The sequence below is a fragment of the Homo sapiens genome, chromosome 1, assembly GCF_000001405.40.
Source record: "Homo sapiens chromosome 1, GRCh38.p14 Primary Assembly".
NCBI lineage: Eukaryota > Metazoa > Chordata > Mammalia > Primates > Hominidae > Homo > Homo sapiens.
In genome coordinates this window covers 111,598,975-111,622,612 of record NC_000001.11, presented here as the reverse complement: position 1 = coordinate 111,622,612, position 23,638 = coordinate 111,598,975, and the positions used below count along the sequence as shown (strand labels likewise).

At 45.3% G+C, this 23,638-nt stretch overlaps 1 protein-coding gene and 2 long non-coding RNA genes across 8 annotated transcripts in view, besides 7 other annotated features; 2 read left to right on the top strand and 1 right to left on the bottom strand.

Moving 5' to 3' along the window:
* Positions 1 to 23,638, bottom strand: part of RAP1A (RAP1A, member of RAS oncogene family) — a 174,683-nt gene that overhangs the window by 94,079 nt on the left and 56,966 nt on the right. For 4 of the 6 annotated variants that reach the window (NM_001394066.1, NM_001010935.3, NM_001370217.2 and 1 more), the window contains exon 1: positions 2,679 to 2,824. The exons of 1 other annotated variant lie outside the window; for it this stretch is intronic. The gene's annotated coding sequence lies outside the window, so the exon portion shown is untranslated. Of the gene's footprint in view, positions 1 to 2,265; positions 2,825 to 23,638 lie in introns of those variants that run through there. One more of the 6 variants, NM_001291896.3, reaches the window with a different exon arrangement.
* Positions 2,142 to 2,271: a silencer, noted in NCBI's record as "silent region_1186". NCBI's record gives its function as "represses an Ori minimal core promoter by ATAC-STARR-seq in GM12878 lymphoblastoid cells {active_cell/tissue: GM12878}" and the evidence as "EXISTENCE:reporter gene assay evidence [ECO:0000049][PMID:35858748]".
* On the top strand, positions 2,215 to 5,002 carry LOC107985184 (uncharacterized). The gene is made up of 2 exons (NR_160737.1): positions 2,215 to 2,289; positions 2,397 to 5,002. It is a non-coding gene; the product is annotated as an uncharacterized LOC107985184 (long non-coding RNA).
* Positions 2,322 to 3,001: a silencer, noted in NCBI's record as "silent region_1185". NCBI's record gives its function as "represses an Ori minimal core promoter by ATAC-STARR-seq in GM12878 lymphoblastoid cells {active_cell/tissue: GM12878}" and the evidence as "EXISTENCE:reporter gene assay evidence [ECO:0000049][PMID:35858748]".
* Positions 2,322 to 3,086: a biological region, named in NCBI's record as "Sharpr-MPRA regulatory region 155".
* Positions 2,792 to 3,086: an enhancer, noted in NCBI's record as "tiled region #155; HepG2 Activating non-DNase unmatched - State 1:Tss, and K562 Activating non-DNase unmatched - State 1:Tss". NCBI's record gives its function as "activates a minimal TATA promoter and a strong SV40 promoter by Sharpr-MPRA in HepG2 and K562 cells {active_cell/tissue: HepG2 | K562}" and the evidence as "EXISTENCE:reporter gene assay evidence [ECO:0000049][PMID:27701403]".
* Positions 13,763 to 14,456: an enhancer, noted in NCBI's record as "H3K27ac hESC enhancer chr1:112150779-112151472 (GRCh37/hg19 assembly coordinates)". NCBI's record gives its function as "activates a minimal SCP1, AML or CMV promoter by ChIP-STARR-seq in primed H9 embryonic stem cells {active_cell/tissue: H9 hESC(primed)}" and the evidence as "EXISTENCE:reporter gene assay evidence [ECO:0000049][PMID:30033119]".
* Positions 14,295 to 23,606, top strand: LINC01160 (long intergenic non-protein coding RNA 1160). Its single transcript, NR_034126.1, has 5 exons — positions 14,295 to 14,477; positions 17,911 to 17,984; positions 18,113 to 18,244; positions 20,358 to 20,421; positions 22,518 to 23,606. It is a non-coding gene; the product is annotated as a long intergenic non-protein coding RNA 1160 (long non-coding RNA).
* Positions 22,032 to 22,151: an enhancer, noted in NCBI's record as "active region_1506". NCBI's record gives its function as "activates an Ori minimal core promoter by ATAC-STARR-seq in GM12878 lymphoblastoid cells {active_cell/tissue: GM12878}" and the evidence as "EXISTENCE:reporter gene assay evidence [ECO:0000049][PMID:35858748]".
* Positions 22,472 to 22,581: an enhancer, noted in NCBI's record as "active region_1505". NCBI's record gives its function as "activates an Ori minimal core promoter by ATAC-STARR-seq in GM12878 lymphoblastoid cells {active_cell/tissue: GM12878}" and the evidence as "EXISTENCE:reporter gene assay evidence [ECO:0000049][PMID:35858748]".

The window sequence follows — 23,638 nt, the reverse complement described above, 5'->3', positions numbered from 1 at the left end:
CAACAACTGTGGCTGTCAAAATCAGTATAACCTAGTCTTAAGAGTATAAGGTAGGGTGAGAGGATAGAAACAGTGGCAGGGAAGGGTAGTAAGGGAAGACCTGAGACTGGTGCAGAGACCTGAAGAAGTGAGGGATATATACTGCCTTGGGGAAAAAGGTTACAGGCAGAGAGGACATTAAGTGCAGACACCTCAGTGTATTTGACCTTTTTGGGATGTAGGAGGCCAGTGTGGCTGGAGTACAGTAAGCAAGAGGAAAAGTAAAGGGGCTTGAGATTAGGGAAATAGCTGGGCAGCTGTAAGGCTTGTAGGCCATGGTAAGAACTTTGGATTCTACTGTGAATGAGATGGGAAAACACTGGAGGGTTTTGAATAGAAGAGAGACTTGTTCTGAAGTTTGTGAGCATCATTGTAGCTGCTGTGTGGAAATCAACTTGGGGTGGAGGGGCAAGAGTGGAAGCTGGAAGATCAATTAGGAGATTAATAATCTTCACTTCTAACCTTTTTCAGTGATTGCAAAATTGTGTATCTTTCTGCTGTTGGGCAAGTAGTTTCCTTTTCTTCCCATCTATTAAAATAATTAAATGAACATGTGCATATACAACATTTTCTTTCTTTTGGAATATTTCCTTGGGATTCATTTTCAGAAGGACTACAGGAACAACGTATATGAATATACCTGTCTTCTGGGGTATATTAAGTGTAGATACTGTCCTTCTTGAAGCCATACAAAAAGTGAACAAAGGCTTTTGAGCTGTTTTAATATGGAACTGTGTAACACTGAGGGATTCCATCCAGTTCACTTCTAAGACATAAGTTCATGGTTGGCCTCAGAGGGTCCCTAAAACTAATGCAAAATTTTGTGAATAAATGCCTATTAACTTTATTCTGGGGAGAGAGTTTATATATTTCATCATATTCTCAAAGGTGTCAGTGGCCTAGAAAAGGTTAAGAATTACTATCTTACAAACTGGAAATGGACTGCAGTATCCTAATATAGGGTACCTCTCAAAAGGACAGAAGATTTAATAACTAGACTCATCTTTGTAATCATTCAATTCATTCAACAAATACTTAACACGTATGATCCTCAATACCTAACAGCTAATCGTATCTGAAGTAGGCCATAATTTAAAACACCAAGAAAACTAGACAGGATTCACTGAAATATCACGCTACAAAAGAATATCGAACTATATGATTTCAAAACAACAATGTTATAGGAAAGCATAATAAAGACAGAAAGTCTGGGGCCTAATTTAATGCTTATTATGTCAAAGTATCACAGAAATAAATTACATCACAAGGAAAGAAAAACTACACATAGGCATGTCCACCCCCACACATTCTGACAGGAAACCCAAAGAAAGTTTCCAAATCCTGTTTCCAGCAGCATCTCTTCTGAGACGGCCCTTCATGCTTTTGAAGGTAGGAGCCCCAAGTTAAATCTAAGAGCTGATACTTTATTCTTACTGTAATCAAAACAAAAACATCATCCGCCACCTAAGAAGAGTGGCTGGCTACCTGTAGGGCTGTGGCTCATTGACCTTCTGCTCTATTATTCTATTTCATTTCTTATACCTCCTCCCTTCAAAGAAGTAACAAAATGATTTTCCCTCCCAAAACAGAATGCATTACTCCTCAATGGCAGTTCTTTTTCCAAGAGGTCAAAGGTTCCCTAAACTCTGGTTCTCAGCCCTAAGAGGAGATCCCATTTTGTAGGCACAAATGTCTTCCTCTCATCTTCTCCCCGTAGCAGTAAATTACACAACTCGGCTGAAGACACCGTCCTTAACTTCCTGATTAAGGGGGCAAGAGATACTCTTACCAAGCCGCTAGTTTGAAGGATAACAAGAATCACACCGTGACCTCTTCCCTAACAAAATTCAGGGAAGAAGCAGAGACCCATGAAAAGTAACACTGAAAAGGCGAACACATGGTAAGCTACGGAAGACATGAGGGTAAAGAAGGCGGGAAAGGGGCTGGAAGGTGGAGTGGGATGTAGATGTCAGCCCTATTAACTGGGGGAATAAAGGAAGGAAAGGGAGACCCTGAACCCTGACAGAAGTGAGCCCGGAGACAGCAATGCTCCAGTCTACCCGCACTCCTACAGCAGAGGACAGAGAATTCACCCAACCCTCCAACCCCGTTCCCCGTGTGTCCCTCCCCCCCGCCCCCGCGGGCCCAAAAGGGAGAGCTGGGTTTGAAGGAAGCTCTGACCCTAGACAGGGGACATGCAAGAGGAGGAAGGCAGCGATGTCCAACCTTCTACTTCTCTCAGGCAGTGAGGTACGAGGGCACCGTGTCTGGGGAGACGGCGAGGGAAATGGGCTTGTGCTATGACACCTCGGGGAGCTGAAGGGTGGGGGACACAATGTCCTCTTTCTCTCCCACAGCCGGCCGGGGCCCCTCCCGACGGTCTCCCGCAGGCCTACAGTCGACCGGGTCGGTCCGCGGGCGTGGTTGGCTCTGGCCCTGGCGGCGGCCGGGCCTCCCAGATCTCCGGCCCCTCCCGCCGGCCAGGCCCCCGGGCCGCCGCCCCGACACCGATGGAACGCGGAGGAGGAAGGGGGAGCCAGGCGACTGACCGGCGACATGAGCCGCCTCACCCTCGGCTCGGCCGACCCGCGCCCCCCGCTCCCTCTGGGGCCGTCTGGAGCTCCCCGCCCCTTACTCACCCCCCCGGTCCGGCGCCTCCTCCACCTCCTCCACCTCCTCCACCTCCTCCTCCTCCTCCTCCCTCCTCTCGGCCGTGGCTCCTGCTCCGGCTCTGCGCGGCGACAGCAGCGGGAGCGGCGGCGGCAGGGGCCTCGGGAGCGGCGGCGGCGCCTCCTCCAGAACGCGCACGCACGCACCACGCAGGCCCCGCCCCCTGGTTCTGCCCCGCCCCTCCAAGTTGGCGATGGCTGGGCTTCGGCCCCGCCTTCCCCACGGCGTTCCGGAGTCCGCTTAAAGGAGCCGCGCACACTGGAGCCGGGAAAGCCTGGAGCTACCGGGAAGGGGCGGGGAGTTTTAGCTTTGCGTAGGGCGGGATGGGAGGTGGGTAAGACCGGAAAAAAGATGAGGAAGGGTCCAAAGATTCAAGAAGAGAATTTGGAGGGAACTCAATCATTCGACAAGCCCTAATTGAGCACCTGTTAGGTTCCAGGCGCTGTTCTAACTAAGCGCAGAGGTTTAAAGTCATAGACAGGCAAAGACCCTCTTGCAGCTTGCATGCTGGTGGAGTGAGAGAGGGGAGACAGACAACAAACAAGTGACAAAAATTGCAGGTAGTGATAAGTGGTGTGGAGAAAAATAAAGCAGAGGATAGGGTGACTTTACACCTGGTGAGATACTGCCTCTCAAAGAAGACCTTTGAGCGCATACACACGGGATGAAGGAATAAGTCTTGCAAACACGCGGGCCTGGAGGAGGAATAGCCTTTCCAAGCTGAGAGAAAATCAGCCATAAACCCAGAGGTGGGGATACGCCTGCCATGTTGCAGAAACAGTGAAAGGCCGGCATGGCTGAGCAGCGTCAGCCAGCCCGAGAGCAGTACCAGCTAGGCTTGGCCAGATCCAGTGAAGCCTGTGGGCCATTATAACAGGAACGGGAAACCATGAGAGAAGGGTGAGCCGAGGAATGACCGCATCTGATTCATGTTGTTAAAAGTTAGTCTTGCTGATGTGTGTAAAATACACAATGGAGAAGCACAGATGTCCTTGGGATACCAGTAAGGTAGCTTGGACTAACTAGCCTGGCAGCCACGGACAGGATGAGAAGAAGGCTATTTTATTTTATTTTATTTTATTTAGATACATTTTGATTGGAATGGATTTGGATTTGGGGCATAGTGTGTGAAAGAACAAAAAGAAATCAAGAGTTGATTCTTAGGTTCGGGCCTGATGACTGAGTTAATGGCGGTGCCACTTAATGAAATGGAGGAGCAGATTTGGGGATGGGGAAATCAAGAGTCTTTTCTTACACATGTTATGTTTAAGGTGTCTGTTATACATCCAAATGGAGATATTGAATAAACAATCGATATATGAGTCTAGAGAGATACATTTGGGATTCATTAGCAAATAGATACTTTTTAAGTCTTAAGTCTAGTTAGGATCACATGGGGAGGGGAGATAGCTGAAGGAAAGGACCAAGAGGCACTCCAACACTTGAAGGTTAAGTAGAAAAGGAGGCGCTACCAGTCAGGGCAGGAGAAACACCAAGAGAAGGTGAAGCGTTGGAAAACAAGATAATTGTTTCAGGAAGGAGAGAGTGAAGAGTCTTATCAGATACTGCTGAAATTAGTAAGATAAGGACTGAGAATTTGAACACTGGATGTGGCCTGATGAAGTTGCTGATGACCTTGATGAAAACAGTTTCAGTGGAGTCATAGGGGAGAAAGTCTGATTAGGGTATGTTAATAGGATGGGAGGTGAGGAAGAGAAAGTGTTCTAAACAGCTCTTGAGAGGCTTTGCTTTGAAGGAGAAAAGGGCAGTAGCCAGAGAGGTACTTGAGATCAAGGGAGGATATTTTAAGATGAGAAATGCTTTTTCTCATTTTAGTATGCTGGAATGATTTTTTTTTTTTTGAGGCGGAGTCTTGCTCTGTTGCTAGGCTGGAGTGCAGTGGTGTGATCTCCGCTCACTGCAACCTCCAACTCCCTGGTTCGAGCGATTCTCCTGTCTCAGCCTCCAAAGCAGCTGGGATTACAGTCATGTGCCACCACACCTGGCTAATTTTGTGTTTTTATTAGAGACGGGGTTTCTCCACGTTGGCCAGGCTGGTCTCGAATTCCCAACCTCAGGTGATCCACCCGCCTCGGCCTCCCAAAGTGTTGGGATTACAGGTGTGAGCCACTGCGCCCAGCTGGAATGATTCTTTAGAGAGGTAAAATTGGGCCAGGCGTGGTGGCTCACACCTGTAATCCCAGCACTTTGGGAGGCCAAGGCGGGTGGATCACGAGGTCAGGAGATCGAGACCATCCTGGCTAACACGGTGAAACCCCATCTCTACTAAAAATACAAAAAAAATTAGCCAGGCGTGGTGGCAGGCGCCTGTAGTCCCAGCTACTCAGGAGGCTGAGGCAGGAGAATGGCATGAACCTGGAAGGCGGAACTTGCAGTGAGCCGAGATCGCGCCACTGCACTCCAGCCTGGGCAACAGAGCGAGACTCTGTAAGAGAGGTAAAATTGATGACACAGAAGGCAAGAGGAGACAACTGGAGAAAGAGTGTCCTCAAATAGGTGAGAAGCAATTGGATCTAGCACAGAAGTGAAAGGGTTGGCCTAGGATAGGAGTAAGGGAATGCATTCACACACTGTTTCTGGAGAGAAGGTAGAGTGTCTGGGTGCAGAAGCAGATAGATTAGACAGTACATTTGGTTGTGGCACGCTCAGGCCCCTGTAGAGCAGAGGCGGCAGGTAGGAGCTGAAATGTAGCCCTTGTTTTGCCCACAAAGCCACGTGCCCTGGTGGGGTCACATCAGCCTGGAGGAAGGGGTACTTTTCTGATTGCTCCACCAGGAGAGGTGGTGCATGTTAGCATCCTGCATATAACACACACACATGCGCAAACACACACACATGCGCATACACACACATGCATACCCACACACACACGTATGGACCTTTTCCCAGTTTCCACTGAGTGCCATATGTACTGGCTGCCTCACTGGGATTGATGAGGTAAGATCTGTTCTCTATGCAATGAAAAGCTGTTGGCTATTAAAGGAGATAGAAGAAGGTGAGAAATAATCTCCTTGAAGAGTGGAAAAGTGACTAGAGAAGCTTAGCATGGACAGTGCTGAGGGCCCTCTTGAGTTGATGATCATACATTAAAGTGAGACCACTCAGCAAGGCCGTGTGATTCTCCTCCAGCCACACTCCATTGCTTGGGGGTTGGAGGAGAATTGTATTTGACCAGGTCTGAGTTTTGCTGGGGAAAGCCTATGAGAGGGGTAGGAGTATTATGTAAGGGAGTGATTATAGTGATAGACCTTGGAATTTAAGCTGGGAGGGAAGACAGGGCAAGTAAAAAGTGGTAGAGTCAATGGTTTGCTGTGGTCCCTGTGAGAAGTAGTTTGAGAGGAAGTAATCAAACAAGTGAGGCCAAGGGGACTTTCCAAAAGTTGAGCATGGGGAAGGGTGAGTAAGGCGGTTAGGGGACAGGAAGCACAAAGCATCTGTGAGAAAAAGGTTCAAGCTGGCTCCAAGGAGCTAAGGAAACAGCAAAGCCCTTGGGCTTCTGTCCTCATCACGGTATATGTGAACCATTGGTTTGGAGAGGTTGAGGAACTGGATTGCCCACTCATAATCTTCAGGGAGCTGCACAAACAGGAGAAACTGAGTGCAGGAGGAGATAAACCAATTAAATCCTCCCAGGGCTCCTTTACAAGCTTTGGGAGAACCCAATGGGCACTTTGCTTTCCCTGCCCTTTCCTTTCACCAGGGATATCTGATGATTTGGGTAGACACTTTATCTGGCCTAGTATTTGACAGAAACTAAACACCTTTCTTCCTAAATCCAGCTCCTCCTCTTCCTGACTTCCTCTTTTCTGTTCATGGCACTACCTTTCTCAGTCACTCAGCTGCCAAACCGAAGCCTCCTTTAATCCATCTTCCTCATTCTATGCCTAATTAGTCCCTAAAGCATAGTGAGCTGCACTGTTCAATAAACATTGCACTGTGATGGAAATGTTCTTTATCTGCATAGTCCAAAACAGGAGTTACATATGGCTATTGAGCACTTTAAATGCAGCTAATGCAACTGAGGAAGTAAATTTTTTTTTTTTTTTTTTTTTTGAGACAGAGTCTCACTCTGTCACCAGGCTGGAGTGCAGTGGCACGGTCTTGGCTCACTGCAACCTCCACCTCCCAGGTTCAAGCGATTCTCCTGCTTCAGCCTCCCGAGTAGCTGGGACTACAGGCACAGGCCACCACGGCCAGCTAATTTTTTTATTTTTAGTAGAGGCGGGGTTTCACCATGTTGGCCAGGATGGTCTCAATCTCCTGACCTCATGATCTGCCTGCCTCAGCCTCCCAAAGTGCTGGGATTACAGGCGTGAGCCACCACGCCTGGCCTGAATTTTAAATCCTATTTAATTTTAATTAAAGTTGCATTTAAAGAGCCTTAATTAGGAGCTGCTATATTGGACTGCACAGGTATAAATACTATACTTTCTACACAATGGCCCTTCCAGCTGCCCCCACCTCTCTAGCTCTATTGCCACGACCCTAGGTCAGGTATTGGTTAACCTAGGTCGAGACTTTTGCTGTGATCTCCTGTTTGGTCTCCTGCTTGGTTGCCTTCCCTTCAGTCCGTCTTGTGTTCTTGCCAAAACCATCTTCCTGAAGCATTGTCCAGATCATGACTCCACCCTATTTTAAAAACTATCAGTAGTTCCCCATCAAATTTAGTACAAACTGCTCAATCTGGCACTTGCCCAATTGTGTATCTCCATCCCACTTTTCTAGCCTTACCTTTCACTATACCCTTACATGTATATCAAACTACTTGCTGTAACTCCTACTAACTTTTTACAAAGGAGTCAACGTATTAAGTTACCTCTCTGCCTGCAACAAATGCCTTCCATTCCCTCTATCAAACCTAAAATCTGTTGAAATCCTTGAAGGCCTGTCTCATATTGCAACTCCTAAGTGGAGCCCTCCTCTGAAGTCCCATAGTTCCTATTCATTCCACACCTATGGCACTTATATGCTGCTTTATAGTGCATTTTGTGTATTCATTTTATTCTCATTACTAAATATTATTCCTTGCAAGTCACTGTGTTTTAATTATGCTAATGTCCCTTGCAGTATAAGGGGCACCTTATAAAATAAGGTACTCTTCAAATAGCCACTGAATGTAGTTATGCACTTTCATGAAATCTGTAGAGCATCCATACCCCTGTCTAACTCTAACAGTAACATCACTAGCCCTCAAAAAGAAAGTCTTTATACCCTGGAAGCAACTTTTCTAACATGAAGTTCAGACGTTTGAAGAGAAACAGACTAGGTACATTTCTTTTCATGTTATTATTGGCTGAGAATTTCTTCCTCCCCAAACTTAGGGCACTTTTACAATTCAGTTCTAGGTTGTAATGCTAAAGAACACCATTATTCTTAGAACTGACAGGAAAAGCATAGACACTTCTAGGACCAATTGAAGACTTTAAGAAGATTGTGATACATATCAATAAAAAGAAGCTTCCATCTAATAAATGTTTAGAAAATATATTTTTAAGCTTGCCACTTAGCAAGCCCTTATGCTTCCTGCTAAGGATACAAAGGCAGGAAAAATACCATCCCTTCACTCAGGAAGGGCCCATGATAAAAATGTGACCTGGCATTGGTATGTGATTTTACAGTTTTCACAATATCTAATGCTACCAATGATGACATTAAAGTACGTATTATTAGTCTCATTTTGTAAAGAGAAAGACTTGCTTAGAAGGATTAAATGAATTTATACAAAAGCGGAGAGCTATTAATTAGCAAGGCCTCAAACTGGTACCCAGATGTTTGGGTATTAAGACATTGGTTGAATTAGAATTTTAAGTTCCCTGAAAGCAGGTACTTGATTTGCTTTATTCATTACTATATTCTCAGAGCCTAGAAAAGTAACAAGAATATAGTAGGTTCTTAGTAAATGTTTCGGGAATAAATATTCAGGAGCATGTGTCTGTGTGTTTCGTAGAGAGAGAGAATATAAGCGAGCCATATACTTCACTGGTTATTTGTATACTTGAATTAACTAAACCGATGTTATCTATATTAGTGCCACTCAAAATGTGGTCCATAGATTGTTGATGCTGGTCCACAAAATGACCAGTTGACCTTGAGATAAGTAAAGAAAGTGAGAGTAAGCATTTAGAATCCTTTCTGGCAACTTAACATTGCTGTGATATCCAAGCAAGTGATTAGTGGCCTCGTCTAGGTGAATCAGGGCATGGACCAGTCCAGGTGTTGTCCAAGTCTTATGGTTGGTTACATGAGGTATAAGCTATGTACTAGTCACATAGCGTTTCATTTAATCCTATCATGTTGGCCACTTACTGCCCAACTTCTCCTCTTCCTAGATGTTCTTTACTATTTAACAAAGAGAACACTTCATGCCTTTGAAATGAAAGAGCTGGCCGGGCGTGGTGGCTAACGCCTGTAATCCCAGCACTTTGGGAGGCCAAGGTGGGAGGATCACGAGGTCAGGAGATCGAGACCATCCTAGCTAACACGGTGAAACCCCGTCTCTACTAAAAATACAAAACATTAGCCGGGCATGGTGGCGGGCGCCTGTAGTCCCAGCTACTCGGGAGGCTGAGGCAGGAGAATGGCGTGAACCTGGGAGGCGGAGCTTGCAGTGGGCCGAGATAGTGCCACTGCACTCCAGCCTGGGTGACAGAGCAAGACTCCGTCTCAAAAAAAAAGAAAAAGAAAAAGAAAAAGAGCTTGCAACAGATTTAAAACTTAAAAAAAAAAAAAACCCTACGTTTTCACCAAAAAAGCGCTATCTACCACTGATCTTATGATGTAGAGGTATTGTTATGCAGTAATTAAGTATATGATCCCTGGAATGAGGCTACATAGCTTTAAATGCAGCTTTTGCCACTAGCTGTTCAGCCTTGGACAAATTACTTAACCTCTTGTAGCCTCAGTGTTCTTGTCTGTCATCTGATACTAAAAAGAGTACAAAATTTTGTAGTACTTTGGTAAAAACTAAGAGAGAGAATGCATGGACAATACTCTTCATAGAGACTGGCACATACTGACAAAATGTTATTTTTATGTTATAATAAATATATCTATTACTATTATTCTATTCTTGGGTTATAGAAATTCAGGCTGTTTGAAATATTTAAAAGATCTTGACTATAGAGGTAATTCTATAAACATCCAGGTTTGTAAATAGACAATTACTTTTCGGTTATTCACATTGTTAAAAGATGATAAAGATCAGCCAACTCCAAAGGCTTTTATATTTGTTTTTTAATGCATTGTGTGATTTGAGCGGCAATACAGTTGGTTTCTTGATGGCCATTGAAAACAGTTTCTATATTTTCAGCTTAGGTGATCCGAGTGGTGAAAGAAGGTATACAGGCAGGTGCATATTGTGCATTGTGAGAGAGCTAAATCAGAGTGGAAGATACCCATGGAGAAACAAGAGTTGTTCATTTGGTGGTGTATATATTGCCTATTTATATGTTTTATTCAACAGACTTTATATATAAAGTTCTTCTAAGTTCTAGCCCACTGATTCTTTTCTCTTTCCTTCTGTGAACACTGTTGTCTGGAAGGAAGCTGCTACTTAGCCATGCACCTCTGCAAATCTTGGAAAGAGTCAAGGATTCCTGAGGCAAGGAAGTTGGATAATGATGAGCACCAGGCAAGACACAGCTGGCCACTGGAGAGAGAGCCCAGTGTAGGCAGAAGGCCAGAATGTGCCAACAGTAAGTGAAGTCTTTTTTTATCAGAAGAGAAAAGCTTGCACTTAGCTTCACTATCAGGGAGAAGACTGGCATCAGACCAACCCGCCCTTCAATAAATGGAGGGAAAGAGAAATCCAGAAGCCTAGTTTTGTAGATGTGAATTAACATCATTTATTCTGTAAAAAAAAAAAAAAAACTCAAGCACGTGTAAACTGCAAATTAAACAACCCAAATATATGGATATCTGAATTTACAGAAGGCAGAATAGTGTGGTTAGGGTTGCTAGATTTAGCAAATAAAAATAGAGGATCCCCAGTTGAATTTGAATTTAGATAAACAAAAAATGTGCTTTTAGTAAAAATATGTTCCATGAAATATTTAGGATTTGTTTACCCAAAAATCCAGTGTAACTATATTTTATCTGGCAACCCTAAGTGTGGTTAAACATGTAGGCTCTGGAGTCACACAGCGTGAGTTCAAATTCTGATCCTGCTTCTTACCAGCTGTGTGTGTAACCTTGGGCAAATTATTTAACCGTTCTGAGCTTCAGTTCCCTTGTGCGTAAAATTAGGATAACATTTACTTCACAGGGTTGTTGTGAAGGTTAAATAATACATTTAAAAATTTACAATGTTAACTGATACAGCATAAGTGCTCAAAAACTATTAGCTATTTTTATAGGAAAGATAAACCGTTATTCATTAAGCAAATTACTTTTTTTAAATTGACATTATGATTCAAGTAACTTTAAAAAAATCTGAAGTGGAGCTTTTTATTCCCTTCTATTTCCATGGTACTGTCACTTTACAACAAACTGAGCTAACACAACTTTTAGACTCACTATTTATGGTATAAAGGAATACACACCAAACATTGTACAATATCATCAGGTTTCCTGTTCCTTCCCTTAGTGCCTGATACTTGAACCCAATTTTGAAGCCATCCTAAGCACAAAATTTCCAGTGAGAAATTTGGGCAAACTTTTACAAAATATTCCTTGAATGTTTACTAGATAAAAGTTAGGAGCCAATGACAGCTCTAGAATGGGATTTTCTTAGAAAGAGGTTTTGTTACAGTGGATTTGTTGTAATAGGATTTGTCGTAATAGGACTTCTGCACTCTGTGTAGATCATTTAAGAATAACCAACTGTACAGACAGTTCCAGTTCTTGTAATAGAGCTCTATTATCACAAAGTTAAAAATCAAACAAGAAGAAAGGGCAATGGGCTTGGAATAAAAAAAAAATATGTTTCTTCCATTCAGTACAAGTCACTTTCTGAATATTTGCTTTCGCATTTATAAAATGGGAATACTACCTTAAAGAGCAACAATTAAATTAAATGAGATAATATGAGGGACAATAGAGTACTGGTTTTCAAAGTAAGCACTCAATAAATGCTTGTTAATATGGATCTGTTATATTCAGTAGAAGAACGACTATATACCAGTGCAGCCTTACAGGAAGATTAAAGCCTGGGGCTTATGCTACTTTATATGGCTGAGCTAAAACTCCTTACTCTGTCCACGTCTGCTTTTGGATAAGAACCAATAACTTCCAAACAATGATACAACCTAAGGGGAATTCAAGGAAGAACTCCATCTTCCCCATCTTCAGTGACTGGTGTTGGGTGTGTGTGTGTGTGTGTGTGTGTGTGTGTGTGTGTGTGTGTGTGTGTTGGGTGGAGGGAAGTAGTGGAATAGGAGAAAGGCCAGAAAAGGAGCTGGAGATGTCCTTTTTCTTTCAGTAACTAGTTAAGCCAGATAGCAAACTTTGTGTATAAAACTACTAGCTGAGTCCGAAAAGTAGAAAACACATTTGCAGTAAATTTACAATATTAATTTTGAGCTGAGGGAGCAAATTCCAAATTCAAACCAGATTCAGAAATTATGACCTCAGTTTTTCCAGAGTTTCTACTGATTAGGATTGTTATAGATTGGCCAGGGGTAGACTGTATTAGGGGAAAAATAAGAGAGAAAAATAGAATTCACAAGAATATGTAAACTCAGAGAATGAAGTTTCCTGTGTTAGCATTTGCTGCTAATAAATGAGACTCAAGCAAAGGAATATAGTATTTTTCTAAGGAAGAGTGAGGGGGTGAGTCTTAGGGTTTTGCAAGGAGGATTACCAAGGGAGTCAATCATTTTTGGCTGTAAGGTCATAAGGGGCGTATAGTTTTTCAGAGCAGTACGTGAATGATGTTAAACTAAATTAGTAGAGCTGGTGGTTACAGAATAAACTAGAAGGCAATTTTGAAAGTCAATCAGGCCAGATGTGGTGGCTCATGCCTGTGATCCCAGCACTTTAGGAGGATCACATGAGGTCAGGATTTTGAGACCAGCCTGGCCAACATGGTGAAACCCAGCCTGGCCAACAAGGTGAAACCCATCTCTACTAAAAATACAAAAATTAGCCGGGTATGGTGGTGCGTGCCTGTAATCCCAGCTACTCAGGAGGCTGAGGCAGGAGAATCACTTGAACTCAGGAGGCGGAGGTTGCAGTGAGCCGAGAGCATGCCACTGCACTCCAGCCTTGGCAACAGAGCAAGACTCCATCTCAAAAAACAAAAAAAAGTCAATCAATATTTACATATTGAATATCAACTCTGTGCTCAATAGCCTCCCATTGTTCAGGGGCCACAATGACACAGAGCGGAGCACCAGCACCCAGTGTGTCTAGTTTAGGGAGAAATAACCTATGAGCCTAGATGAAGACAGAAGAAAAAGATGGAAGACTCTGTAACCAAAGGGTTAAGAAATCTTGAATGACTAACATTTAAGTAAAAAAAAGTAAGGGTCAAGTTCTAAAACAGAGAATAGAAATAGCATTTGCTACCAAAGAAGTGGGCTTTTGATTAAAAAAAATAATAATAATGAAGTGTCAGGTGTGCCAGGGACCTGATTGAAGGTCTCACTTGGGCTTTGAACCTGGCAAAGGGTAGAGGTGAAGCATTCTCAAATCCTTCCCTTGCCTCCTGCACCCAGGGTTCAAGGTGTAAAGGAAGAAAAGCCAGGGCATGTGCATCGTTGACAGACATCTGAAATGGATCATCTTGCTGGGAGTTGGAGGGTTCTTTCTCACCGCCCCTCTGTTCATCCTCTGAGCTGTAATTGCCTAAATAGACAGATTAGCACAAACTCAGCCTGTGCAAGTATCTTTTAATGCTCATTTGCTGACTTTAATGAGTTCCAGAACCAATTTGTGATCTTAAAATCGCTCAGGTTTATCACCAAAAGAAAGCACTGTAAGTCTAGTGCAAGAGGTCAGCTCAGCAGAACTCAGCAGTGAGACATTGATATGAAAATGAATTCACTCCCTCTCCCTCTCCCTCTCCCGATGCCGAGCCGAAGCTGGACTGTACTGCTGCCATCTCGGCTCACTGCAGCCTCCCTGCCTGGTTCTCCTGCCTCAGCCTGCGGAGTGCCTGCAATTGCAGGCGCGCGACGCCACGCCTCACTGCTTTTCGTATTTTTTTGGTGGAGACGGGGTTTCGCTGTGTTGGCCGGGCTGGTCTCCAGCTCCTAGCCGCGAGTGATCCGCCAGCCTCGGCCTCCCGGGGTGCGGGGATTGCAGACGGAGTCTGGTTCACTCAGTGCTCAATGGTGCCCAGGCTGGAGTGCAGTGGCGTGATCTCGGCTGGCTACAACCTCCACCTCCCAGCCGCCTGCCTTGGCCTCCCTAAGTGCCGAGATTGCAGCCTCTGCCCGGCCGCCACCCCGTCTGGGAAGTGAGGAGCGTCTCTGCCTGGCCGCCCATCGCCTGGGACGTGAGGAGCCCCTCTGCCTGGCTGCCCAGTCTGGAAAGTGAGGAGCGTCTCTGCCCGGCCGCCATCCCATCTAGGAAGTGACGAGCGCCTCTTCCCGGTCGCCATCCCATCTAGGAAGTGAGGAGCGTCTCTGCCCGGCCGCCCATCGTCTGAGATGTGGGGAGAGCCTCTGCCCCGCCGCCCCGCCTGGGATGTGAGGAGCGCCTCTACCCGGCCGCGACCCCGTCTGGGAGGTGAGGAGCGTCTCTGCCCGGCCGCCCCGTCTGAGAAGTGAGGAGACCCTCCGCCTCGCAGCCGCCCCGTCTGAAAAGTGAGGAGCCCCTCCGCCCGGCAGTCACCCCGTCTGGGAAGTGAGGAGCGTCTCCGCCCAGCAACCACCCCGTCCGGGAGGGAGGTGGGGGTCAGCCCCCGCCAGGCCAGCCGCCCCGTCCGGGAGGGAGGTGGGGGTCAGCCCCCCCGCCCGGCCAGCTGCCCCGTCCGGGAGGTGAGGGGCGCCTCTGCCCTGCCGCCTCTACTGGGAAGTGAGGAGCCCCTCTGCCCGGCCAGCCGCCCCGTCCGGGAGGGAGGTGGGGGGGGTCAGGCCCCGCCCGGCCAGCCGCCCCGTCCGGGAGGGAGGTGGGGGGGTCAGCCCCCCGCCCGGCCAGCCGCCCCGTCCGGGAGGTGAGGGGCGCCTCTGCCCAGCCGCCCCTACTGGGAAGTGAGGAGCCCCTCTGCCCGGCCAGCCGCCCCGTCCGGGAGGGAGGTGGGGGGGTCAGCCCGCCGCCCGGCCAGCCGCCCCGTCCGGGAGGGACGTGGCGGGGTCAGCCCCCCGCCCGGCCAGCCACCCTGTCCGGGAGGTGAGGGGCGCCTCTGCCCAGCCGCCCCTACTGGGAAGTGAGGAGCCCCTCTGCCCGGCCAGCCGCCCCGTCTGGGAGGTGTACCCAACAGCTCATTGAGAACGGGCCATGATGACAATGGCGGTTTTGTGGAATAGAAAGTGGGGAAAGGTGGGGGAAAGATTGAGAAATCGGATGGTTGCCGTGTCTGTGTAGAAAGAGGTAGACATGGGAGACTTTTCATTTTGTTCTGTACTAAGAAAAATTCTTATCCTGTTGATCTGTGACCTTACCCCCAACCCTGTGCTCTCTGAATCATGTGCTGTGTCCACTCAGGGTTAAATGGATTAAGGGCAGTGCAAGATGTGCTTTGTTAAACAGATGCTTGAAGGCAGCATGCTCGTTAAGAGTCATCACCACTCCCTAATCTCAAGTACCCAGGGACACAAACACTGCGGAAGGCCGCAGGGTCCTCTGCCTAGGAAAACCAGAGACCTTTGTTCACTTGTTTATCTGCTGACCTTCCCTCCACTATTGTCCTATGACCCTGCCAAATCCCCCTCTGCGAGAAACACCCAAGAATAATCAATAAAAATAAATAAATAAATAAATAAATAAATAAATAAAAGAAAATGAATTCAAATGAACTCTTGTGGCCATTGTAAGGCCTCACTGTTCTCTAATATCATTAAATAGAAAAACATTAGGTGCTGGATGTCCTGATGAGCCAGTTCTTGTACAATACCTGTTTTACAAACTACATTCGAGTATGCTTTTGTTCTCTCTTCAAATTTCACAGCTTCCTCTACTCTGCCTAAAAAGGAAAACTCACATCTTTGAGCTGTTACAATAAAACTATCGGCAGCCTGTAAAGTGAGAACAGAGCCTTGCCTTAATTTATTGCACCACACAGATTTATTACACATCAGGGTAATAATAACAACACCGTGACTTGCTGCCTGATAATCTCCCCTTCTGCTCCAGTAGGAGTGTGGTGGTGGGAGCTTGGAGGGCCCTGCAGACTCCCTGTATGGTGCTAAGCACGGCTGGGCACACTCTTGGCTCAGTGCCATGAAATGATGTGGTACTACTGGGCCGTGCAGTGCCAAGATACATGCAAAGCTGGTGAGGAGATGTAGTATTTGGACAGAAAATACTGGAAGCTGTTTGCCAGGTCTATATGAAAATAGTGTTTCCACAGTTGCTATTTGCCAGGAGAATAAGCATTCTCCAGCTACCTTCTTCTTATAAAAGGTTCTTCGTGCTCTGAGAATGAAGGCATTTTTTTTTTAAAGGTTCCTCATCCTGAAATATGACGAGAACCCAGTTTTAGAACCATAGAGGTGAGGAATTCCCTTAGGGGGCATTTTACCTGTCTTTAGGCAACACCACACCTAAAAGAATCCAGGACTATAAAAGTTAAATAGATTCAGAGAGAGTTTCTGAGAAACAGTTAACAGAATTCAGGGTTAAAGATGATCACCCTTCAGGTCAAGGGTCTCCTTCCATGCCAGCCTTGCTTCTGGCCTGCTTCTCTGTCTTTTCTTATGGCTCCTGAGTCCTGGGGTGCCTAATCAATCTTGGCTGCTTCCAGGGAAACTGCGCAGAGGCATTTGGGCCCTCAGCTTGCCCCTGGTGACGACAGTGACATCCTTACAGAGGACAGCATCCATCAGAGGTGCCCTCCTGCTGCTCAGCTTGCTCTGGAAGCCTCTCATTAGAGTTTCTCATTTTTAAGATAATGGGAACTTAATGGGGATTATTTTGATTTTCTCTTACCAGCCAACACTTTTGTAGCTGAAGCCCTGCTGCCCCCAGCTGCACTGCCTGAACAAATTGCATCTGAGCAAGCCAAAGCTGTGGCCCAGGAGACTGCTGACATGACTTCAGCAAGGCACAGCCCAATCCTATTGCCTAATTTTCTTTGTTCTTAGGCCAAGACTTTGGCCTGTAACAGTGTTTGGATTTCTGGCTTTTTGGGTGACCACTTTAGTTCCTCCTTTCTTCACCTACCAAGACAGAAACATCTTTAACAAATCATCAGTAAATTAATCCATGAATTCCAAGCAGTTGAGAAGGTCAGGCTACTGCTGCTTCTTCCATACCATGCTTGATAAAAATGAAAAATTCAGTCCACCCATTGTCCATCACCTGGTTGTACTTAACACAGAGATTCACTCTCTGAATATAGTACGAAGACCAAAATGATTGGAAAATTATGTATGCTTAGCCTCTCAGAGGAATCAGATGACCTCAGTGAATATTTTTTGAGACCATTAGGCCCTGGGGATCCAAAGACATTGTCCCTGTCCTCTCCAAAGCTTTGGTTTTCTTCCCAATAAACATATGTACGTTTATTTGGTTTTGCATTGGCAAGTGGTAATCGGTCGGGTAAATTGGCCCTTGGGAAATTTTATCCTGCCAAAGTGATTCACAAGCCACAAAAATGTGGAAACTACCTTCCTTAGAATACCAGTCATGCCCTGCACTTCACAGCATAGTCTGGGTTTGGGTCTCCTCTTCTCCTGTTGGCTGTTACCTCTTACAACTACTAGGCAAATCCTGAATCTTGGAAACCACTTCAGTCCTGTAGTCACTAATTGCTGCCTGGCAAGAAACCATGTCAGTCTCTTGTCTGAGTTCAATGGAGAATTGTCACACTAACTTGAAGCTCTGGTGGTAGATCTTCCTCTCCCAAAAGACCTCAAAGCAATCTAACATCAGGGAACCCAGTGAGGCAGAGTGGTGGCCGAATCATATAAATGGAGATAAACATGGTCCCAGGTGCCATCAGAGAGTCAGCAGACCCCAGGCTTCAAAGCACATTGCTGATTACTCTTGATAGAGGGCCCACAACTGTTTTAATCATGCAATTATTTTGAGGATGAATTTATAAGAAAGGAAATTCACCTCCTTGCCATTTTGCAGGGTGGCTGTCAATAGATTGGCCCAAAAGGAAGAACAAGGAAAAGGGCACCAAAGAAGATAAATGAAAATACAAGGTAAGAAGTGGGTAGAAGCTGTAGCATTATAAAGAAATCCAAGCCAAAATTGTCAGGGGTGGGGAACTGTTTTTAAAAATTATTTTGATGATAATGATGACTTTTTTGTTTTGTTTTTATATTTTAAGGGTATAAGCTGAACTGTGGACATCCTGCCACTGGGAATTAAGTTAAAGTAGAAAAAAGCAGAATGTAATGGGGAGTCCCCTCACAAGAAGAATTTGGATCAAAGCATGGCAGTGAGGGGAAGCATTGAGCAGGTGAGAGTGAGGCAGAGGCTTTAGTCCTGCAAGAAACAGTCGCCTGACTTTAAAGCATGCCTGTGTCACTGACAGCATTTAGCAGTGCACAGTGTGCAGAAACTTGGCTTGTCAGCTCTCCTGATGCTCACAGATAGGGCAGCTTCACTGTGGAGCACTACACAAGCCCATTTGCTGCCTTCATCAGTCTGTAGGTGCTGACTTTGCTGGTAGAGTCACCACCGCAGCCTCAGGGCCTCTTCTCACTTACCCACTTCCTCCGCATTCACGTTGCTCCTCTCATCAGAGACACCAAGGCCCACTGGAGCCTGCTTTGCATCACTTACATGAGAGGTTTGGGATGGCACATTGTAAATGATCTTTGCAAACTTTTCCTTTTATACTCTTGAAGTTTAAGCAGAGAGGCAAAGAGTAAGTGGCCCAGGAGCAAAATGTCTACATTTCTAAAATGAGTCTGAAATGAAGGTCATCTGAAAATGTAGCTGGAGGCAAAGACAGCTTTCAGGGTCAAAGTTGGGCAGGATCTCACAGAGTTGCAATCCTGCAAATTTTTTTTGTTTTGTTAAAAAGAGAAGGAAGTTTTTTTAAAAGCTAGATAGTACCCCCTTAGTAGGCATGGTATGAAAAATAATCTAAAAGATGTTCGTCATTTTTTAAACTGCAATTGTGAACATTTTAACTGGGAGGAGTGGGTTTCGTATTCCAACACAACTGGTCATGCCCCGAACTTGGGAAGGGAGAGAAGAAAACATTTTACAAAGGAAAAAATGAAATATTTGTTACCTAAAATTTTCTACTTTGACAAAAATGAAAGTTCAATTTACAAGCTAAAGGAACATTCTGTTGAATCTTCAGTGCACCCCAGAACATCCTACCAATGGCTTCAGCTCTGCCAAACTTGGCACCTTTCATCTCAGAGTCCCCAGTAAACTAATTTCCACAGCATTCTAAGGTTGGCCAAGTCATTCAAATTATAGTGATGACAGGTTGGGCGATAGGTGGCAATTTTCCTTTGTTGTCATTACCCTTCCCACATACTGGGCAACTGAGGCATGGAAGGACAGAGGTAAGATGTTGGCTTCAAGGTTCAGGACCAGATCGGTGGCGTTCCAGGAACCAAACCTTGAACATTCATGTCGTCTCTGGGAAGTGGCTTTTTGATTCAGCACTGGTACTTTCCAGTGTCAGCACTTGTATGTGTCAGTAGCTAAGTCTCTCGTCCAAGGGCCCCAGGTTCTCAGCCTCTGCTTCATCTCAGGAAAGCCCTCTGGCAGTTGAAGAGAATGGGGTAGGTGGGGAAGTAGGGTGAAGCCTCAGTGAGTTTGATGGTTGGGTGCTTGAATGGGAATCTAAGAGGGGAAGAAGGGCTCTGTGATTGTGAATTACTATAAGGAGAGGTGATTGGATTGGAAAGAGCTGGCAGGACTTACACTATGTCCTCCCTTGATAATGATGCATCACAGTGCCATGGCCACGCCTGACCACACACTTCACTTGCCCTGCCCCCTTGGGTGTTAGGTATATCCCTTCAACTTTGGAAAGGGGCATAACGTGTAGATACTGGGGTAGATTTTCCTGAGGTCTTATTTGTATCCACCTTTAATAGAAATAAACAGGATACTTATTTCTAGGTTGATAAAAATGGCCAGAGTAGCTAAATAACTCTGTGTCAGCTGGACTTTGATTATTTTTTTAAGTGGCAGAAGAGAAGGATGAACAATGTTCACTAGGTTGAAAAGGTTAGAGCAGTAGATGTTTGTTTCCTCCCATCATCTTCATGATCTCTTGCTTCAGAAAAGTGGGAGAAAAATAAACCAACACACCACCTGATGAATGTCCCACCCCACAGAGTAGTCTAACTCTGTGTCTCAGCAGGAAAAGGGGAAAGAGGAAGAGAAACTGACATTTAATGAGTGCCAACTCTATATTGGTCACTATATATAAATAGTTTAATTTAATCCTCCATTACAAGCCCCTACTATGTAGATATTATTATCCCCATTTTTAAAGATAACTATTTGGCTCTTGCAATTAGGAAACCATGAGACCAAAATTTAAAAGCCAGAGCTTCCTGACTCCAAAATCCTCTTTCTTTCCTGTTATCCTGCTGAAGTGCCGATTTCAAATGAAGACTGACTTGATCCTGAACATAACCTACAAGAAGAAAGGGACCACAGGTGGGTACTGTCTTCTTACCCAACATGGTTATTAGAACACCCTCAGTGACAGAAAGGGTCAGGATGCCAAGCAGTTGTTTGCAAACGCTGTTTGGCTAAAGGATCTAATTCACTGAATGAACACATTTCTTTCCAGGGTGTGGGATGCAGGTCCTGGTGAAGGGTCATAGACTGTGGAGGAAGAAACCCTATGGCTTGTTTATTGAAAATTCAATTAAAGTTTACCCTGAATCACTTGTCAGTAAATTTACACATGCCTTAAACTAGATGGACCTTTGAAATCATATTCCTCTTACCCTTGTTATAAAAATAATAATAGCCATATTTATTGAGGGCTTATCACATGCCAGGAGCTGTACTTTAGGCTTTATGTGTCATTTAACCCTCCAGCGATCCCATGAGGAAGGTATTATTATTTTCTCTTTTTTACAAATGAAAGGCACAAAAAGGCTAAGAAACTTGTCCAAGGTTACACAGGAGAGAAATGGCAGAACTGGGATTTGAACTTTCAAACCTGGGCACCTCTCAACTATACTTTCTGCTACCTGTCATCAGGGAAGATGGTACATAGACAGGAAGGGTGAGTTTTTTCCTGAGTGTTTGTTTCTCTACTTGGAGAAGGAGATATTTTTCTCATTTTCCATTTCTAGAGTAATAGCAACCTTCAGCCACAGAAAGCACCAAATCCCTTTACCCCCATTCACGTTAACCTGCTAGATAAGTCTATTCAGTAAAATCTCTTAGTCCTCCTTAGTCATTACATAGCTTTATTCCTCCCTTTCCTTCTCCTCAGCTGGTCTTTGGCATCTTCCTCTTGTGTTAGGAGTGAGGGGTGATCATAGACAAGGATCTCCTTTCTCAGCAGTGGGTTACCACTCTCTGGTATGGTCATTGTCCTGGACACCCAGGACAATCGGTGTGGTTGAAATTAGAGAGTGGCTGAAATTCAACTTCTTGGATACAAAAGATCCCACGGTGATCACCGGCCTCACCAAAGAGAAGCAGGTGGTTTACCCACACTGAACATTGTCATCGAGGTTAATGAATGCGTTCTTACATGGTCTAAATATAAGTATGTGGACCTCACTGAGGAGAGACCAGGCCCTCAAGAAAGGTCTTGGAAATCCCACATTCTGCTGTTATGGAGAGGGGAGTAAGCCAGATGCAGCAACCTCAGCTTCTGATTTTGACTGCTGAAACTCACATCTGCCTACCCTTCATGTGTAAACAGGGTTGCAAAATTACTCACTCCGCTCACATGCATAAAGAATGTATAGTTTCTTTTTTCTCTTAATCACCCTGATCTCCCTTATGAGCCCTCACCTGCTGGGTAGCAAGAGAGAAAAAAATAATTTTAGCTCAATAGATTTTAAAACTAGTCTGATACAATTATTTAAGCAGTTTCTTTAGGCTTAATTTTTGACTTTGGGATAAAGGAGTCTTTCAGATTCCTTGCTTCTTCTGGTTTCTTCTCTGTAAATGGCACCAGTGGTTCTCAGACCAGGTCCCCTGGTGCCCTCCCCACACTGCTCTGCCCTCTTAAACATGGTGGTGCGGGGCCATCTACAAAGCAGTGTCCTAACAAGGAATTTCAAAGGGAATGGGGAAAGAGCTCTCCTGCTCTTGATGCTCTCTAATTGATTTCATTCTTCAGGCAGAACGCTGGAGAGGGGAGGCTAGGAGAAGACAAACAGCCTTGCTGCCTGGCGTGTGGCCACTCCCTACCTCTTGTAGCACTGGCTGGAAGAGGAGGCTTGCTAGCCTCTATCACAGGCAGAAGAATATCCATTTACACTTAAGGGAAACTCTCTAAGATCAGAGACTTGGTTCTTGAACTTCTAGAGATGGTAGAATATCTAGTTTGTTTTTCAAGCTGTTGTGATTACCAGTCCTGACTGGCCAAGGCATTAGGCCAGGCGAGGCCTCTGCAATGTGAGCTGAAAGAAGAGGGGTTTAGAGAGGAATGGAAATACTGTGTGTGACATTGTGAAACACATATTTGGTCTTTGTGTTAGTCTGTTCTTGTGTTGCTATAAACACCTGAGGCTGAGTAACTTTTTTAAAAAGATGTTTTATTTTGGCTTGTGGTTCTGCAGGCTATACACAAAGCATGGTGCCGGCATCTGCTTCTGGTGAGGGCCTCAGGAAGCTTACAATCATCTTGGAAGGTGAAGAGGAAGCCAGCGCATCACATGGCAAGAGAGGGAGCAAGAGAGAAGGGGACAGTGCCGCACACTTTAAAAAAAAACCTTATCTCACGAGGCAGAACTAACTGAGTGAGAGTTCACTCATCACCAAGGGAATGGTGCTGAGTCATTCATGAGGGATCCCCCTGCCGCCCCCGTGATCCAATCACCTCCCACCAGACCCCACCTCCAACACTGGGGATTACATTTCAACATGAGACTTGGGGGGGACAAACATCCAAACCATGTCAGTCTTCAACCCCTCTTCCTGACATACAACTCCTAAAACTCTTAGAATCTCCAAAGTGCTGTCTTTTTATGTGTTAGTAATTGGCTAGTGGCTCACAGCCCCTTGGTAGCTTCAGGATGGGGCCTGGTCACTGGAAAGACCAAGTCATAATTAGAGGGTTGAGACTTTCAGCCCACCCCCAACATCTGGGGAGAAGAGAAGGGCCGAAGCTCAAATTGATCACCAATGGCCAGTGTTTTAATTAATCATGTGGCCAGGCGTGGTGGCTCACGCCTGTAATCCTAGCACTTTGGGAGGCTGAGGCAGGTGGATCACGAGGTCAGGAGATGGAGACCATCCTGGCTAACACGGTGAAACTCCATCTCTACTAAAAATACAAAAAATTAGCTGGATGCGGTGGCATGCGCCTGTAGTCCCAGCTACTCAGGAGGCTGAAGCAGGAGAATCACTTGAACCCGGGAGGCAGAGGTTACAGTGAGCCGAGATTACACCACTGCACTCCAGCCTGGGTGACAGAGCCAGACTCCATCTCAAAAAAACAACAACAAAAAAAGACAAATAAAATAAATAAAAATAATGAATCATGCCTATGTAATGAAGCCTCCATAAAAACACAAAAGAATAGGGTTCAGGGAGCCTCTGGATAGCTGAATATCTGGAGGCTCCTAGAGAGTGGCATGTCCAGAGGGCATGGAAGCTCTGTGCCCCTTTTTCACCCTATACACCTCATCATCTGTATGCTTGGTAATATCCTTTATAATATACCAGTTAAACGTAAGTG